At 54.5% G+C, this 16,397-nt stretch overlaps 5 annotated features.

Annotated features, from left to right (window-relative positions):
• Positions 1,960 to 2,775: an enhancer, noted in NCBI's record as "H3K27ac-H3K4me1 hESC enhancer chr11:68890263-68891078 (GRCh37/hg19 assembly coordinates)". NCBI's record gives its function as "activates a minimal SCP1, AML or CMV promoter by ChIP-STARR-seq in naive H9 embryonic stem cells {active_cell/tissue: H9 hESC(naive)}" and the evidence as "EXISTENCE:reporter gene assay evidence [ECO:0000049][PMID:30033119]".
• Positions 1,960 to 2,789: a biological region, named in NCBI's record as "Sharpr-MPRA regulatory region 9006".
• Positions 2,495 to 2,789: an enhancer, noted in NCBI's record as "tiled region #9006; HepG2 Activating DNase unmatched - State 8:EnhW". NCBI's record gives its function as "activates a minimal TATA promoter and a strong SV40 promoter by Sharpr-MPRA in HepG2 cells {active_cell/tissue: HepG2}" and the evidence as "EXISTENCE:reporter gene assay evidence [ECO:0000049][PMID:27701403]".
• Positions 2,495 to 2,789: a silencer, noted in NCBI's record as "tiled region #9006; K562 Repressive non-DNase unmatched - State 20:ReprD". NCBI's record gives its function as "represses a minimal TATA promoter and a strong SV40 promoter by Sharpr-MPRA in K562 cells {active_cell/tissue: K562}" and the evidence as "EXISTENCE:reporter gene assay evidence [ECO:0000049][PMID:27701403]".
• Positions 4,547 to 5,175: an enhancer, noted in NCBI's record as "H3K4me1 hESC enhancer chr11:68887863-68888491 (GRCh37/hg19 assembly coordinates)". NCBI's record gives its function as "activates a minimal SCP1, AML or CMV promoter by ChIP-STARR-seq in naive H9 embryonic stem cells {active_cell/tissue: H9 hESC(naive)}" and the evidence as "EXISTENCE:reporter gene assay evidence [ECO:0000049][PMID:30033119]".

Genomic DNA, 16,397 nt, shown 5'->3' with positions numbered 1-16,397 from the left:
CCAGCCTGACCAACATAGTGAAACCCTGTCTCTACTAAAAACACAAAAATTAGCTGGGCGTGGTGGTGTGCACCTGTAATCCCAGCTACTCAGGAGGCTGAGGCAGGAGAATCGCTTGAACCCGGGAGGTGGAGGTTGTAGTGAGCCAAGATTGTGCCACTGCACTCCAGCCTAAGCGACAGAGTGATACTCCTTCTCAAAAAAAAAAAATTAAAAATACTGAAGCCATGTGAAATAGCCTCTTGTTCAACACAACTTTATTGTCTAGGTAGGACATTCAACATGTAGTGTCTGAAGTAAGAGGTGCTCTCAATGTAAGTACCAGGTTTTTAAGACTAGTACATACAAAAGAATGCAAAATATCCCAATAATTTTGATTATGTGCTGTTTCAATATTTTGGATGGATTGGGTTAAATAAAATGTGATTAAAATTCATTTCACCAGTTTCTTTTTACCTTTTTAATGTGGCTACTCAAAAATTGTAAATTATCTCTGTGGTTCGCATGACAAATGCTGCCCAACTTACGATGGGGTTACGTTCCAGCAAACCCATCCACTGAATCAAACGCATTGAATCCACCTGAACATCATAGCGCAGCCTGGCCCACCCTATGTGTGCCCAGATCACTGCCATTAGCCTACAATTGGGCAAAATCATCTAACACAAAGCCTGCTTTATAATAAGATGTTTACTATTTCATGGAATTTACTGATGTTCTACTGAACGCATATGGCTTTCACACCATTGTGAAGTCAAGAGATCCTTAAGCTGCATCCTAAGTTGGGAGCCATCTGTCTACAGCTGACCCTTAAACAACACGGGTTTCAACCTATAGGCAGGTTTTCTTCCACCTCTACCACCCCTGAGGCACAAAGACCAACCTCTCCTCCCACTCCTCCTCCTCCTTCCTACCCCTCCTCCTCTGACTTAGCCTCTTTGATGTAAGATGACAAGGATGGAAACCTTTATGATGATCCACTTCCACTTACTGAATAGTAAATATATTTCTCTTCTTTATGATTTTCTTAATAACATGTTCTTACTTTATTGTAAGAACACAGCATGTAATACATGTAACATACAAAATATCTGTCCATCAACTGTTGATGTTATCAGTGAGGCTTCTGGTCAACAGTCGACTATTCGTAGTTCAGTTTTGGAGGAGTCGAAAGTTACATGCAGGTTTTCACTGCATGGGGGAGGGGGTCGCAACCCTAACACGTGCATTGTTCAAGGGGAAACTGCGTGTCTGTTGGGCCCCAGTGTTTTGGGGCCTTTGCTGATTTGCTCCTTTTGAACTCGCCAGTAAAGGTGGTAATAAACGTAGCAGAACCCTCGCCGGCCCTCCCGAGCACCAGTCTGGGAGCTAAGCTTACATTCTCCAGCTGCCCTCAATGCCCCCGCATTCCGACAAGATAGGATCCATTGATCCCTATCCGGGCCCAGAGAGATGGAGTAACTTGCCCAGGTCACACAGCAAGGCCTTGGGGGACCTCATATCTACAGGCCTGAGGTGGAGGCCCTGGGAGGGCGCCTGGTCTCCTCTCCTCCCTCCAGCTCCTCAGCCACATTCTGCCCTGGATTTTCTCGGGGATTGGGGGCCTTTCTCAGTTCCTAAAACCAACAGTGAATCCAACCCCAGGAGCGCCTCCTCTGGCCGCTGTCTACTGGAACCAGGGGAGGAGAGAAGTGAGACCAGAGACTGCAGACCTTGAAGGCTAGAACAGGGAAGGGGGAAGTGGGCCAGCGGGGAGGGTCGTGGCGGGGGCACCCAGGGGTACAAAGGTACTTAGCCCCTGCAAGGGCCAGGAGGGAGGGCAGGGGGAAGTAGGAGGACCCCACCCGTCGCCCACTCAGCAAAGGACTCTTGGGCACCTGGCGCGCACTCACCACCATGCTCAGTGTTGGGTGCAGTGGTGGGTGGGGCCTCAACCTCACAGAGCTGGCATTCGGCGGCAGGGACAGGTGCTGACCACCCTAATGGTCAAGCGGAATGCTTGCAGGGTGCAAGGTCACAAAGTTCTGGGTTCAAACTCTAGCTGGGCCCCACTATGTGACCCTGGGCTACCGTGGGCTGCAGCCCGCTGGCGTGAGGAGAGACCTCAAAGGTGCAGGGAACTCTGGGGCTTCCCCCACCACGGGTAGAGGAGATTCAGAGGTCTCCGCAGAGCGCACAGAAAAGCCAGCTCTGCCCCAGCCCCCTCCCCGCCCTCACACCCAGCCTGAGCACTTCCTTCACTCCCTGGATCAAGGCTGCATGCAAGATGTCACCGGCTCACTGGCTCTGCAACCTACGTCTCTGCAAACCACTGATGCCGCCCACTCCCGCCTCTCACAGGGAGCTGACTCGATTTGCCCGAGGTCCCTGAGCTGGCAGGAACAGATCAGAGTGTTCTGGCTCCCCTCCCCCCGCCCCCCCGCCATGGGTCTAGCAGATTAAAAGAAAACTTCCCCAGGAAGGCTGCAGAGACACACCCAGCCCTGTTTCTGAGATCACAGGCGAGGAGCCCAGAGGCAGGGACAGAATGACAAATGCTTCTTAGGGGACCCAAATGCCTCCCGTTCTGGGTACAGAGTGCTGCCCTATTATCCACCAATGCAGAGAGCACTGCTGCAGGGCGAGGGCTCCGGAATGTTTGCAGGACGCATAGCAGAGCTGTGAGTCAGCCGAGGCAGGGAGGAGGCCGCACAGCAGGGCGGGCAGGTGGGGAGCCGGGCGTGAGGTCAAACCCTCCATGCAGAACTAGGGTAAACAATGGCCCAGGACCAGCCCTTGGGCGGCATTCTCCATGGCCCAGCCCAGGTAACATCGGAACTGTGCCCAAGAGGAGGAAAGGCACTCGCCAGGAGGGAAGCCATTTGCCCTGGGTCCTGCCGGGATTTGGGGCCAAGATTCTGGACTCCCAGCACAGTGCTCTCTCTTGGCCAAGCGCTGCCTGGGCATGGCTGTCCCTGGATATAAATGAAACCTTGTAGATTTGAAGAGTATTCTAGCCGCCCCGGAAGGCTGGCTGCTCAGAGGTGCTGTCTCACGATGGGATCATATACGCAGACATGGGGCCCTACCTCAAACTGGCCGTGCGACCTGGGGCAAGCCACTTATGGGTCTGAGTCCCAGATGCCCCACCTGGAAAAGGGACAGGAATTCCTACCACCCCAGGCACATGTACAGTTCCAATGAGATAAGAACCGAAGCACCCGCTGTGTGCCAGGCACTGGGTAGGGGCTTTTCACGTGGTATCTGTTGTCTGTGCTGTACCCTCTCCACGTTAGGGAGGCAGAAACTGGCATGTGGAGAGGCCAGCTTGCCGTCGGCCACACTCTGAGGATGTGGCAAGGCCAGAATCTGCAGGTTCATGCCCTCTGCAGTGCAGTGCCTCCAGCAGGCTCCCAGAGGGCATGGGACCCTCCGCCCCAACCCGCCTGTGAGCCCCTCAGAGCCTGGGAAGACACGTGCGGGTGCAGCTGCAGGGAGGGCAGGGCTGATCCAAAGGCTCCTTGGGGTGGGGAAGGATGGCTGAGCCGGGATCCACTTTCCACATGGGTCCTGAGCACACTGCTCTTCACTCCAAGTTCTCGGCCACTTGGGATCACGCTCTTCTTTAATTCTCCAAGCAATGCCTCCCACTGCCCTCGGAGCAGTACACTCCACCAGGGGCCTCCCCAGAGTCCCTGGGGATCGGGCTGAGACAGATGGGCAGGGGCTTGACTCCCTCCGAGCTGCCCTCCGCCAGCTGCCTCCACTCCTGTTCTCAGGCCCACCTTGCCCCCTGCCCCTCACTGGGCACCCCAGGGTCATGGTGGGGGCAGGCGGTCCCAAAGGCCTAGGCTCTGGATGACTTGCATTGAATAACGTTCCACTGCTCCCAGGACCCCCGTGCAGGGTAGCACTGTCTCCCTCTCTCCAGCACCTCTGCCTGGCTCCCACGGCCCTCCCCCCCGACCAAAACCACCAATTCCGAGCCTCAATGATACAGAGTGGTCCAGCCAACCTTTCACCAGCTACCCAAAAATCCCAGGGGAGGTAGTCAGCTGGGCTTGATGACAGCCACCCCAGCCCTGGGGGAGCCACTCCCAGGCAGGACACCTCCTGCCTCTCAGGTCATACCCCTTCCTAGATGCCCACATCTGTATGATGGGGATGAGAAAATCTTCTCTTTATGGAAGAAAATCTACAGAGAGCCCTGAGCAGGAGCCTGGCATGGATATAACACGCACCCAACAGCTGCTGCCACTTCCTTCCCTGGGAGGGCCTTCTGCAGCTCGGCGCCCTCAGCCTGTGCGTGGCTTTGCCCCCTGCACATTTGGTAAGTGAAGCTCAAGGCTGAGACCAAAGGCACACAGGGGCGTGTGCATGCTTGAGTCTTATGGGTACGTGCTGTGTGCCTGTGTGCATGCATGCCCAGGCAGGTACGTGTGTGTGGGTGTGCAGAAACATGTACGTGTGTGCATGCATGCCCAGGCAGGTACGTGTGTGTGGGTGTGCAGAAACATGTATCTGTGTGTGTTGTGTGCAGAAGCATGTACATGTGTGTTGGTGTGCAGAAGCATGTATGTGTGTGTGCATGTTTGTATAGATGTGTTGTGCCTGTGTGTGCATGTGGGCAAGTATATGTGTGGCTCACATAAGAAAGTTCCTTAAATTATAACACCTTGGAGTATGTCACACTTATTGCTGCCATGATTATAGCAGTGGTCACTTTTGGGTGCCTGGTGAGTGCCCAGCTAAGCACTTGCCCGGTGAGGGTCCCAGCCAGGATTGAATTCCAGCCTTCGTGACTGCAGACGGGCACCCCCCACCTGCACCTGGCATGTCAGGGACCTAGCACACAGGAGCGTGTGACCACCTGACCCAAGAGCTCTGCAGCAAAGGGCCCAAGCCCATTTGCTGGATCCTGAGCCGCTATTGCGGCTGGACTCTCACACGTGACCTGTGCACCCGACCTGTTTGCCACATGGCACCAGGCCCTTTCTGACCGCACCCCCCTCTCGTCCCAGCCAGCAGGCATCAGCAGGACCCTGGGAAAGCAACAGTGATGTAGTCAGGGCCACCTCCTCATCTCCTGCTCCATGCTAAAGAGAGAGCCAGACCAAGACTGGAGGTCTCTAGGAGGGACAAATAGAGCCACCAAGTCCTCGCAGAGGAGCAGCCCCTGCATGCTGCTGTGAGCGTGGGGTACCCCACCTCCTCACACCAGCCCCACCAGCAGGAGGTCGACGGCCACGTTCTACAGGTGAGGAAACTGAAGCGCAATGTGGACCCTGCCTGAGGTTACCCAGCTAACATGCTGCAGCCGCGGTGCGAAGCCAGCCGTGGCTTCCATTCAGACATGCTACTCCAAGGAGACCCCCAGACCTCCCCAGCAAGGCTGCCCTCTCTCCCCACCCTGCTTCCCCAGGGGGCTGAGTCTCTGATCCCATGAGAATGCAAGCCACAAGGATAGGACTTGGTCTGTTCTGTCCCCTGCGGTGCCCCAGCACTGTGAGGTGTGCTTGGCTCATGGAAGGTGTTCAGAAAGTGCTGAATGAATGGATGAGTGTGTGAGTGAATGAATGAATGGGCTGCTTCAGTCTCGGCTCAGAGTCAGGGTCCTGAGGTCATTTGCGGGTTGGAATCTTCATTCCACATTGGGTCGCACAGCCTTATGCAAAAGTCACTTTACCCCTTGGCTACTCCACCCGTAAAATAGTGACAGAGCTACTACAGGGGCTGGTGGTGGGATTACAGGGGTGAGGCCAGTGCTGGGCACAGTGGTACTGGCTGCCACTCTCCCCATCTGGATCTCAGGCCTTCAAAGCCAGTTTGTCCCTAGTGCCCTAACTCCAGAGGTTCCTCCAGAGTATCTCTCCCAAGAAACCCATGGTTGGTATCCAGGCCCCTGAGAAGCACCTGAGCTGCCCTCCTCATGTGTGTTAAGTCCATCCACTTAACTTTGGGGAGAGGCCACCCAAATCCTCACGTTCTGAGAGACAAGAGTCTTTGCCAAATGTATCAGTCAGGATGAAATTTGACCCCACGTAAATTTCCTATCATGTAAAAGAAGTCCAGGGATAGGCAGTCTAAGGCACCAAGAAGTCAACAGGAACCAAGCTTCCTTCCAACTAATTCACCACTCCCAGGGTGTGGCTCTCAACCTCATAGTCTAAGATGGCTGCAAGAGCTCCAGCCATCACATCCACATTCCAAGCAGCAAGGAATGTGGAAGGGAGAAAGGAGGTGTGCCTAATTCCCTGGAAGGAGACTTCCTAGAAGACCCACGCTGCTCACATCTCATTGGCCAGAACTGAGTCACACACTCAGTGGTAGAGCATGACAGTAATGACCCCTAATTTATTCACACTCCCTCATATGACTGTTTGACAATGTCACTCCTCCCACCAGGAGATGAAGTTTATTTCTCCACCCCTGAATCTGGACTTGGCCTGTGACTTGCTTTGTCCAAAGGGACGAAGCAAACAGGATGCAAGCAGAGGCTGGAAAAGCTTTTGTGCATGCAGGCTGCTATGTCGGTACCGGGACCTCCCGCCAGCACATGAGCAAGGCCGGGCTGATCTCCTGAGGATGAATGAGCACATAGGGAGAGCATCGCTGTCCCAGCAGAGGCCCCCAACATGGGAGAGAGGCCATCCCCAACCATCCAGCCACAGCCAGGCCAGCCCGGATCAGAAATCTTGCTTAGCCAACTCACAGAACCTGGAGAAATAATGAACCCTCGCTGTTTTAAGCCACAATGTTTTGAGGTGGTTTGTTACACTGCAAAAGCTAGCTGATACACTTCTCCAGCAACAGGGAGGCTAGGCAATGCAGCCTACTCAATGGACCACAAAGCTCCTACACTGGATTTTTGAGTCTAAAGGGAAAGGAAGTAGGCCCAGTGGCTCACGCCTGTAATCCCAGCTACTGAAGAGTCTGAGTTCAGAGGATCACTTGAGGCCAGGAGTTTGAGACCAACCTGGGCCACACAGCAAGACCTTGTCTCCAGCAAAAACAAAAAAATTGTTTTAATTAGCCAGATGTGGTGGCTCATGCCTGTAGTCCCACCTACTCAGGCAGCTGAGGCAGGAGGCTCACTTGAGCCCAGGAGTTTGAGGTTTGCCAGGCTGGAGTGCAGTGACAAAATCATTGCTTAAGCTATGATGCTGCCACTGCACTCCAGCCTGAGTGACAGAGCAAGACCCATCCCCAAAAAAATAAGTAATTAGGCCAGATGCAGTGACTTATGTCTGTAGTCCCAGGGCTTTGGTAGGCCAAGGCGGGCAGATCACTTGAGCCCAGGAGTTTGATACCAGCCTGGGCTACATGGTGAAACCCAATCTCTACAAAAAATACAAAAATCAGCCAGAGGTGGTGGCATGTGCCTATAGTACTAGTACAGTCTAGGCACTGGACTATACTATAGCAGTAGTCCCAGCTACTTGGGAGGCTGAGGTAGGAGGATCACTTGGGCCTCGGAGGTCGAGGCTGCAGTGAGCCATGATTGCACCACTGCATTCCAACCTGGGTAACAACGCCAGACCCTGTCTCATAAATAAATAAATAAATAAATAAATAAATAAATAAATAAATGGAAGGAGAAAGTGAACATAGGACCCAAGCTCAGTAGCCCCCACCACACCCAATTCCTGCTCTGGCCTTGCCCCCAAGAGTGCAGAAGAGAGGCATGGTAGTCCTCCCCTTGCTCCGAATTTCTGTTCCTGTATCACCGTGATGCCAGGCCATTTCAGGAAGGGGCTCTGAGCCAGCCATGCTGAGGTCTCACCACCATCTCTCTGTGGGTGACCAGTCACACAGGATCTCTTCCTCAGATGGTCTTCCCTGTGGTCTCCCCACAAAGCATCCTCCATCCTAGACTCACTGCTGCCCCAGCTCCTGCACTCAGCTGTCCCCAGAAGCCTGAGCCAGGCACCCTTCGTGCCCCACACACCCACCACCTATGTCCAGCCGCTCGGGCAGCCCGGGGCAGCCATGCCTGTGACGTTCAATACCCAACTCCTGGAGTCATGTAACGCCCAGAGGGACAGAGACAGAGGCCCTTCTCGCTCCCCTTCCCCAGCGCCTCGCTCAGGGCTGAGCACAGGATGGATGCAAAGAACAGGGAAACTCCACGGAAGGAGTTCCTGAAGTTTCTAAGGACACTTTCCGTACAGTTCAGGAGGGGACGCTGCACTGTCCCTGATGCTCACCACGGTCTGTCCCTCCTGTCCTAACCACGCTCCCCGTACAGCTCAGGAAGATAACACTGCACTACCCTGATGCTCACCACGTCTCTCCCTTCTGTATTCTTCAGGCTCCAAAACGCTTTCACATTCTCTCTCTCAGCCTTCAAAGTAACACTACCTAGGGCTATACCAGGCGACATTATTCAGCTTTACAGAGGAAAAAACTCTGATCCCCAGGATAAACGATAAATGGCTGCTCATCCCAAAAGACGTGGCCATATTTGATTATTCTGAGTCATCCCAACCTGACACAAGGTACCCTTGGGGACAGGGGGGCAGACAGAACACCCTGGGAAGCCCCCAGGTGGCTTCCATGTGACGAGAATTGGTAAACTGAGGGCTGTGTTGGGGTTTGCCCCGTGGGCCGGGTGCCCTGGGCAGCCCAGGCCTGGCAATAACTCACCCTGAGCTACCTCAGTTTACCTGGCTGTGAAATGGACTGGGAAGACCAGGTCAGGGGTCCCAGGCAGGGTCGGGGGTCAGGGGTGGGGTTCGCTGTGGCAGACAGGTGAGGGCCTGCCCCACCTAAAGCTTCTGCTACTCAGCAACCTCCAGTCACTGCTGGAGGGGGCCGGCCAAGCAACACCAGGTCCTCTGGAAATTGAGATGAATTCATGAAACCTCCTGTAGCGGCCTGCATGGTGGCTTCGAAAGACGTGTCCACGTCCTAACCAAATGTGGCCCTATTTGGAAACAGGCATCTGCAGATGCAATTAAGGACCTTGAGGTGAGATCATCCTGGAGAACCCAAAATCCAATGACCAGCCTCCTCCTGAAGGCTCAGAGGAGAGACACAGGGAGAAGAGATGGGGGCCACATGAAAACAAGGCGGAGACTGGAGCGGGGCAGCCACAAGCCACAGGGCACCTGGAGGCACCAGGGCAGACAGAGGCCGGGGTCCCTCCCTGGAGCAGTCGGAGGGAGCGCAGCCCTGCCTACATCTAGATATCGGGCTTCGGCCCCAGCACTGGGAGAGAAGGCATTTCTGTGGTTTCCAGCCCCCACCAGTTTGTGATCTTTTGTTACGGCAGCCGCAAGAAATCTCCCAGCTGACACGGCCGGCTCGTTTCTTTCACTAGTACTGAAGGCGCCAGAACATATGTCACGGCCACCCTTGTCCTGGGGGTCCCGGCCAGCAAGGCCTGGACTCCAGATCACAGCCCTGCACTGGAAGTCAACGAGGAAACAGCCCCCAACATGTGACGTCGAGGAGGCGAAGCCCACCTCCCAGGCCGCAGGCTGCTCTCTGGAGAGTGGACGGTGACACGCCTCCTTCAAGGACCCTGGCTATGACGGCCTTTGTAAACTGCAAAGTGCCTTCCAGGTTACACGGTGGGGTTATGAATGGGACTGAGTTCCTATCTCCCGAGAGTGAGAGTGCGAGTTCCTGACCCATGCCCCACCCCAGGAACGGCCAGGGCACAGAGGCCAGTGCCGGGAGCCGGACGCTGAAGGTCCCGCAGTGGCCTGCAGCACCCCTGGGGCTGCACCCGCCTGCTGGGAGAGGAGCGGCCCCGCCCTCCCCCAGGGGAGGCGGCCGTCACATGGCAGAGGTGCCAAGCTGGTGAAAGGCCGCCCTCCCTGTCCTGGCACCGCCGTCCACTGCAAATGCCTGGCCAGAGTCGGTGCCAGCAGCCTTCAGGGGCTGTCATGTGCCCAGGCTGCTGGCAGCTGCTGGTCAAGGGGCCTTGCCCTCCCTCTCTCTGGACACACCTTTGATTCGGAGGAATGTGTGTGTGTGCTTTTTATTCCTTGAAGGGGAAAAAGCTCTCTCTCGGCAGAATTCTTCCCGGGACCCCGGCTGCTGACCGCTGGTGAGGGGTCCTGGGAAGGTCAGGCCTCCGAAGGGACCTCCGCCCCTGCCTTCCCACCACCCTCCCTGACACCGCGAACACACTCCGTGCCTTCTGTTGCTTGGGAAGGATTAGAGGGTCGTGGCTTTAAATCCCACCTCTGAGATTATAAATCCTGGAATCCAACCCTGCCTCCGAGCTGGTGACCCTGGGCAAGTCCCTCCATCCCCCTGACCCACAGCTTGTTCATCCACATCATAGGGATATTCCAGAGGGCTCGACAGAGGACTAAGCACAGTGAAACCGTGCTCCTTCTCAGCTCCACAAGGGCACTCTGAGAGTTTTCACCTTCCGGGGGTTATTAATGATGACGCCAGGGCGACAGGTGTCGCCCGGGACTTTGGGGCAGACTGGGATGTTTGGCAGGCTCTGATTAAATAAGATAACGTACATCAATAAGATAACATCCTTGGCTCAGGCCTCCTAGCAAGTGCTCCGCAAACACTAGTGATCGCCACTCCCAACTTCTCCCAATCCAGGCTACGTGCCCGTGGTCCTGTCACCAGCTGCTCCAAGCTTCAGTCTCTGTAGGACAGAGCTGATCACTTGGAGCTGAGCCTTCCTAGGCCACGCTGGTCGCAGAGCAACTGCCCTGCAAGGGAGTTTCATTTATTCATAATAAATCCTATGTTAAGGCTGAGAGTGAGAAAAGCCTTTTTGTTTCTGGCATTTTCTCTCCTAAGCAAAGCCTGGTGCAGACAGAAGGAAATCATGATCCGTCCATCTCAGCACCAGGAGTTCTCGGTGGAGGGCCCATTGCCAGGTAGAGGGACTTCTGGAAGAGCAGCCATAGGTTCCCAAGGAGCTGGAGGTCATGCGCCAAAGGTGCAGGTTTTGCTGGGTTCACAAAGGGGCCGAGGGGCAGGGGCCCAGTGACCACCTGGCCTCAGGCCCCAGAAGGACCCCTGTAGGCAGCTCGGCATCACCAAGGGCAGCTCCCAAGAGATCATCAGGAGCCTAGAGGCCACCCCCATGTGAACAATGGGGCCCTGGATCCCTACGAAAGAGGGTGGCAGAGCTGGACATGAAGCCGGCACCTGGCACAGGTCCTTCTCTTTCCTGGGTGAGGCCTGGGGCTCTCCCATTCTGGAAGGCATGAGCATAAAAGCACCTCCCTGTGGCACCCCCAGCCCCTACGCCCGGGGGCCAGCTTGCCTTTTTGCTCCACACACCAGGGTCATCCTCACGCAGTCAGGGAAAACATCCCTACCCCTCGGTCCCCACAATATTCCAAACCCATCACTGAGCACTTCCGAGCGAGAGCTGGGCCACAGCCTCCCTGACCTTCCAGAAGGGCTGTCGCACAGCCTGTTTGCTAACATGAAAAAACCGGGCTCAGAAAGGTTAGGTAACTTGTTCAGATCACACAGCTGCGAGGGCTGGGCTCGAGCCCAGGTCCATCTGGCTCCACCGCCTATGTTCTGGGCTGAGCTATAAAACTGCACACCCCTCACCCACCTCCCCACATACTGGTCCGTCTATCCCTCGGCCACAGTGCTCAGAGCTGCCTCTGGCCCCAGAATGCATGGAGGTGGAAGGAGACCCAGGAGGAAATGAGACTCATGGAAAGGGAATAACGTGATGAATGCAGCACTAGAGCCCAGAGACAGGGACAGGGGAGGCCTCCTGAAGAGGGGCGTCGGGGTGGGGCAGGTTGGCCAGGTGGGGACGAGGGGACAGCAGAGGGAACAGCAGTGGACACGCACAGAGAGAGACAGCAGAGGGAACAGCAGTGGACACGCACAGAGAGAGACAGCGGTGCCATGTCCAGGCAGCTGCAGGACGTTCTCGAGGCTGCCCTGAGTGAAGGTGTGGGGAAAGGAGGGGCCGGGCTTCGCTGGGCATTCTAGGCTCAAACCAGGGGTTGGGGCTTTTCTCTTAGATTGAATCCTGAAGAGCCATAGACAGTTCTAAGCCCAGGGTGAGTGACAACACTGACCATTTGGAAGTGCCCACCAGAGGCCACGTGTCCCAGAATGAGAGGAGTTAGAACAGGGAGTTGCCGGGAGGGGAGATGGCACTGAGCTGAGGGCGGGGAGGGAGAACAGGCGGCCTAAGGAGGTCTGAGACGGGACTGGGCGGCAACATGAACCAGCTGGGGGTGAGACCGGGAGCCCACACACTGAAGGCACATTGGTTTTTAATGCCTTGCAATTGCCTTTGATTCTGCAAGAGAACGACATTTCTGGAAGCTCTGCTAGAAAATCTGATTAGTGCAAAACGAGAATCTATTCATGAGTGTGGCTGCTCCCCAACTCCCACCCCATCGACCTGCCCAACCCTCCTGTCCAAGAAGCCGCCTGAGGATTCCCAACCCGACCAAAAGCTGCACTTTGGCACGAACCTTTTGTAGGTAGAGAACGTCAAAAATGCAAGTCTTACAACGAGGACAGGACAGTGTCCTGGCCAGGCCTGGAGGCCGAAAGGTGGAGAAGAGGACACCCAGACCCCATGGTTGTCCAGGACGTAGAGAGAGCCCCTGTTTTATTGCTGTTTTTGCTGGGGGGGTGGGGAGGAGTCTCGCTCTGTTGCCCAGGCTGGAGTGCAGTGCCGCGATCTCGGCTCACTGCAACCTCCGCCTCCCGAGTTCAAGCGATTCTTCTGCCTCAGCCTCCTGAGTAGCTGGGACTATAGGCGCCCATAACACCTGGCTAATTTTTTGTATTTTTAGTAGAGATAGGGTTTCACCATATTAGCCAGGATGGTCTCGATCTCCGGACCTCGTGATCCGCCCAACTCAGCCTTCCAAAGTGCTGGGATTACAGGCATGAGCCACCGCGCTCAGCCTGATTGCTATTTTATTCTGGGGGAAACACACCAAAGTAGGAATGTCAGAATCAAATCATTGGTGCCTTTTTAGGGCAGACGCCCACAGTCTTGTGAAGACACCATGGTGAAGGGTTCACAAGGGGATTGAACTCCCAGAAAGGATAATGAAGTGTTCACACCAGAGCCTGAGGGAGCCAGGGAGGCCTCCACATGGGCCCCAGCCCTGGCATCAGGAGAATTCGCCCCACCCGCTGGGGAAGGCGGCGGCCCACCCAGCCATGGCCCAATGGCCAGGCGGAATCAGCACGCTGGGCTGAGCTATCTGGGGCCAGAATTCGGAATGCCACACGTAGCAAACAGTTAATGATCAACTGGTCACCCCTATCCAAAAGACCTAAAACTAATAGGGCTATAAAATGTGTAAAATATCTGCCCCCGACCAGACCAGACAAGACAGCTTAGGGCAGTGAACATTTCTCTGTGTTCCCTTTCAATAACCTTGTGCTGGGAGGCAGGCCATGGGGCCACTCCTGTGGGAAAATTTTCCCGAAGCAAGCCATTTGGTCAGAAAGGCTTCCCATGCTCTCCTCAGCACCCCGTCCCTGGCCACGACCCCTCTCCCCTTGCAGCCAGAGCTGAAGGGACACAGATTCTTTCCCAAGTTGCACATTTTGGGAAGAAGGCTGGAGTGTTTTAAATGAACCATGTAAATGCCCCTTGAAGGGGAAAGGAGGGCGCCAGGGGAGTGGGAGTGGACCTCCCATCCATGCACAGGCCTTCGCTCTCCTGTCCTGACACAGAGAGTGACTTCTGCTAGAGCTGCTGACTTCTGCCAATTTATATGCTAATTCCAGAAATGATTCTTCCTACATTAAATAAAAGCTGAGGAATGTTCCAAAGGTCTGAACAGACTGTACCATTAACAGACAGAGGAGAGCTGCGCAGGCCCTGCCCACAGGAGTTTTGAGCGTGTGAACTTGTGTGCAGCTCACACTCTTGCCTAATTTTAGGCGCACGTGCTCCTTCGGCTGACTTGCCAAAATAAAACTGCTTCGGCATCCAAAGCCTCCCCATGCCCATCTTGACCTTGTGGTCCCCTTTTGGAGTAACCTTCTGAGAAAGCAGAGACTGCAAAACAGAATTGGAAGGGGGCCACATTGAGTTCACACCCCAGAGTGATCACCTGACCCTGAGTCTGTCAGCATCATCAGAGTATGGCCCCCCGACCCAGTGCCTGAGCCCCCCGCCTCCTCCACAGCCTCTTCATTTTCCCCACCCACCCCTACAGACACCAGTCTTCCCACTTCAACAAGCCCTTCCTTCTTCAGACGCTTTGCACATTCTGTTCCTCCCACTGGGACTGCGCTTCTCTGCTCCCGACCAGGTCACTCTGGCTCATCCAATTCATCTCAGCTCACTTGCCAGAGAAGCCCACTCTGAGCACCAGGTGAGGGGGGCCTGGTTATACACTCTTAGTGAGTGCTGTACCTTCCTTCCTGGTGGTCCTCACAATTCTAGTAGATTTGCATAATCATTTCTTCAGAGCTTCCCAGCCTCCTGAGAGCAGGAACTAGGATCCATCCTGTATCCCCAGTACCAACAAGAATGTTTGTCATAGACTACAAAGAGGGAAGTAGGGAGTTTGGATAGATATTTGGGGAATGTTTGGATGGATGGATGGATGGATGGATGGATGGATGGATGGATGGATGGATGGATGGATGGATGTATGGATGGATGGATGGATGGATGGATGGATGGATGGATGGATGGATGGACAGACGGATGGATGGATGGATGGATGGATGGATGGACAGATGTTTGGATGGATGGATGGATGAATGGATGGATGAATAGATGGGTGTTTGGATGGTTGGATGGATGGGTGTTTGAATGGTTGGATGGATGGATGTTTGGATGGATGGATAAATGTTTAGATGGATGGATGGATGGATGGATGGATGGATGGATGGATGGATGTTTGGATGAATGTTTGGATGGACGGGTGGATGTTTGGATGGATGAATGGATGGATGGATCGATGTTTGGATGAATGAATGGATGGATGAATAGATGGATGTTTAGATGGATGGATGGATGTTTGGATGAATAGATGGATGTTTGGATGGATGGATGGATGAATGGATGGATGTTTGGATGGATGGATGGATGGATGTTTGGATGGATGGATGGACGGACGGGCAGACGGACGGATGGATGGATGGATGGATGTTTAGATGGACAGATGGATGGATGGATGGATGGATGAATGGATGGATATTTAGATGGATGGATGGATGGATGGATGGATGGATGGATGGTGGGTGGAGAAAACTGGTCATACCCCAGAAAGACAACTGTCTTGGTAGAATAATTTGTATTTCCTGCCTTTCTCTCCCTAGAACTCTACAAAGGTCTCAGTCAGGGACCCCACTGGCTGTGTCCCCCAGTCGTAGCCTCAGAGACAGAGAACCCCACCAGGCCAACCTCTTGGCCCCATGTTTTCCAGCACTGTGCACTGCTCACACAGTTCTCTCCTAGAACACTTGCACTTCCAGAAGCCCTCTCTCCCAAGGATCCCAACCTCTTCCTCCAAGTAGATGCTAGGGCACTGCATCTGCCAACTTCTCTCTCTTCCATGCCAGGACACACTGAACTCAGCCTCACACAGGCCTGAGGTCTGTGCCAGAGTTGGCCACTTCCTAGCTGATGACCCTGAAGCCACAGACTTTCCTCTCTGAGCCTCGGTTTCCTCATCTGTATAAAGGGCCTCATAAGGGAAAGTAGGAAGGATTAAATTTGATAATGTGTGCCAGATGCCAGTGCTGTGACTGATACAGGAGATGATTAACAAAGTAACATGAGGATTGATGTATTGATTGATTTATCAATTGATTGATTTGCAACTCTGAAGGGAGCAAGTGTTCTTCAAGGCAGCCAGGTGGGAGATGCCTAAAGGCAGAGCATGGCAAACGGTGGTGCTGCCCTGTCTTGATCTTGGTCAACACCTCAGCTATCTCCCACCTCAGAGTGAGCAAGAAAATGGCCACATCTCCCAGCTCTTGATCTAAAGAGTTTGCAGTGCCTGATTAAAGTGATCAGTTGTCTCCCTTGCAGACTCAAAAATGCCTGGAGCCACCCCTGCAGATCCTCACTTCTCACTTCTCCACTGCACAGCTCAAAGGCCATGGACATCCCAGCCATCAGGACTCAGGGCGAGCCTTAACAGAGTACATTGGATCTCATCCTTCCTCCACTCAAACCGCCAGGAGCTCCTCTGCTCCACACAAGGCCCCTTCAGGGAACCTCGAGGAGCTCAGCATGCCCCACCTCAGGGCCTTGGCATGTGCTGCTCTGTCCTGAGGTCTCCACTGGGATCCCTGCCTCCCTTTCCTTGGATGTGTGTTCCTTCATCAGCCAGGCCTGCCCTGGCCCAGGCTAAATCTCCACTGGAGCTCACCACTGCCTGATGCACCAGACACTTGGTCTGCTTCTCCTGGCCACTCTGACTAGAAGAGCCCACCAAGGCAGGCACTTGGGTCTGTCTTGTTCA

The sequence above is a fragment of the Homo sapiens genome, chromosome 11 (genome assembly GCF_000001405.40).
Source record: "Homo sapiens chromosome 11, GRCh38.p14 Primary Assembly".
NCBI lineage: Eukaryota > Metazoa > Chordata > Mammalia > Primates > Hominidae > Homo > Homo sapiens.
The sequence above is the reverse complement of the archived record's forward strand: the minus strand, read 5'-3'. Positions and strand labels throughout refer to the sequence as shown.